The sequence below is a fragment of the Homo sapiens genome, chromosome 5 (genome assembly GCF_000001405.40).
Source record: "Homo sapiens chromosome 5, GRCh38.p14 Primary Assembly".
In the NCBI taxonomy this organism is placed as follows: Eukaryota; Metazoa; Chordata; class Mammalia; order Primates; family Hominidae; genus Homo; species Homo sapiens.
The window spans coordinates 30,674,657-30,677,076 of record NC_000005.10 but is presented as its reverse complement, the minus strand read 5'-3'; the positions used below and the strand labels follow the sequence as shown (position 1 = coordinate 30,677,076).

At 32.3% G+C, this 2,420-nt stretch overlaps 1 annotated feature.

Moving 5' to 3' along the window:
• Positions 1,073 to 1,242: an enhancer, noted in NCBI's record as "experimental_84285 CRE fragment used in MPRA reporter constructs". NCBI's record gives its function as "activates a minimal promoter by MPRAs in K562 erythroleukemia cells, with activity observed for the introgressed 5:30676027 variant allele {active_cell/tissue: K562}" and the evidence as "EXISTENCE:reporter gene assay evidence [ECO:0000049][PMID:34662402]".

The following is a 2,420-nucleotide window of genomic DNA, read 5'->3' as shown; positions in this document are numbered from 1 at the left end:
ATTTAGTAAATGTTCCTTGAATTTAATTTAAAGGTTTAAAACATACAGAAAATAAGCAGGATAATATAGCCTTCACATGTTTACCCACTACGGTGTCATTACTCTATTTCAAAATTTTTTGTAATGATTATTTAAAATGTTGAATTCTCAATTCTCTCCTCAGTGTCATTATTAGTCTCTTTCCACTCTGGAGGCAACTATTTTTTTTTTTAATTTTTAACTACATATCTATGTCTTTCATAAAATACATGTAAATATGATCATGTAATTTTTATCTGCTTTTTTTACTTAATTAAATATTTCTGAGGTTTACCAATGTGTTTAAGAGCTGAAAATCCATTTATCTTATAGATATTTATGGCTTGCTTTTTCTGGTTGTTTGCTGCAAACATTGCTGTGGTGAGCATACTTACACACACTATCTATGCACAAACCCAGGTATTCCTCAGAGTTCATGTGGAGACATGGAATTATGGGCTCAGGGGACATTCACTGGATATTACCCATCATCCAAAGTGTTGATAATAAGTTACACTGTCACAAATATAAAATAAGTTTTCCTATTTTCCTGTGCATAGTCACTATATGTTTAGGCCTTTTGAATTGGCTACAGTTCCTTGTTTTCATTACTTTCATTTTAGATGGACTCTTACATCACAGAGTTCATTCAGTTTGTTCTGTACATAGAGATATTTGGCTTCAGTCTTTGTTTTGGATCAATCTTAATTTCAACATAATTTCGAAGTAGCCATTAGGTATTCAGTCAAAATATGTATATGGTGTATCTGTAAATGTATATGTGTATTGACTTAATATATTTACAGATAAATATGTATATTAAAAATAAAAAGAAAGTGAGGCTTCGATGGGAGCTATCAATCCTACCCACTAATAACTGAAAAAATAGGCAATGTGTCTGGCATCCATTCATTCTTTCACTTTTTTTCCTGCTGCTTCTTTGAATTCGATGCTATTCATCTCATGCTGGTCCCTCATAAAATAGTCAAAACTTTACATTAGAAGATATAATACAAATCACAGAAGATTCTCCATCCCTCTTTCTGCAATTACATAAAGGTCATTTTGAATTTATAGTGTTCAACAAGTGCTTTTAAAAAAGAAATGTACTTTCCTTTCATTAGCTCTTGAAAATGCTGGTGATGGCCACTTAACGTAAAACAGTATTTAACTTTTCATGTCAGTTAAGTGTCATTTTCTGATGAGAATTTTTTTAATGACATCATTCTATGGAGAGATGTCCATAATGACTGCTCCACTTTCCCTCCCTTCCCATTTACTGGGGCAAGAGAAAGAAGAGAAGTAAGTGGTAGCATTCTTGCTTTCTGTGACCCCATAATTAGTCTGAACAGAAAACATGTTATTCCAAATACTCTAGAAGGAATTGAACTTGAGCTTTTTATAACTTCCTGATGTTGTTGCAGGTTATTTTAAAAAACACTTCACTTTTGATTTATCACCAACTGAATTCATAAATTGGTTGAAGAATAATTTTTAAAATATTTTTATATTCAAAAAATGTTGAGTATTTAGACATGTAGTGAATGAGGAATATGTAAAATCTTTTCTGAAAGGCATAGAAACAACAAATAATAGCAGTAATTACAAAAAAAATCTGACATTTATTAAATGGTGTTTACATGACAGACACTGTGATTATCTCAAGTATTCATCACAACCACCTTTATGATGTAGGTGATATAGCTATCTCTCTACCGCCATTATATAAAAGAAGAAACTGCTTCTTTGTACAAGTTTAAACATCTAGTAAATGACAGATCTAAGGCATAGATACATGTGACCCGAAAGCCTATTATATACCCACCTCTACCACTTCCCTTTAAATTGAGAATATCCAGGAAACATACCTTTGGACTTACCTAAAAGCTATAATGTTTTGAATCTAGTGAAGGTAAGTTGAAAGTTGAGCTTCCTAGTTTTATAATTGAAGACACTAAATTACAGAGAGTGTCAGTGATTTGAAAAAAGTCCTATACAAAGCTAACACAGGGTCTTCATCACAGTGCATAACATATTGTGCAAAATGTATTTATTTTTGTGTAATGTTTTCTGTAATTCCACTTTGTCTTTATTAATTTAATGGAAACCTATCACAAAATTAATGTAGCTGCCAATTTTATCTACATAATATTCTTCCTTCCATTCTTCTGACAACATGATTCCATTTGCTTTAGGGACAATCTCTTCTCTGTTCAATAGGTTTCTGGTTTATATGGTTACGAATCATACGTAGTTTTCCAGTTCCTGCCAACGTATAGCTGGGCATTTGACCCATACCTGTGCAATCAAAGCTCCATTATCCTGGTCATAGTGATTAGTTCACAAATGGACACAAAGCCCAAGGCAAATAGATGTCCAGGATTTTATGTAAAGGCACTGGG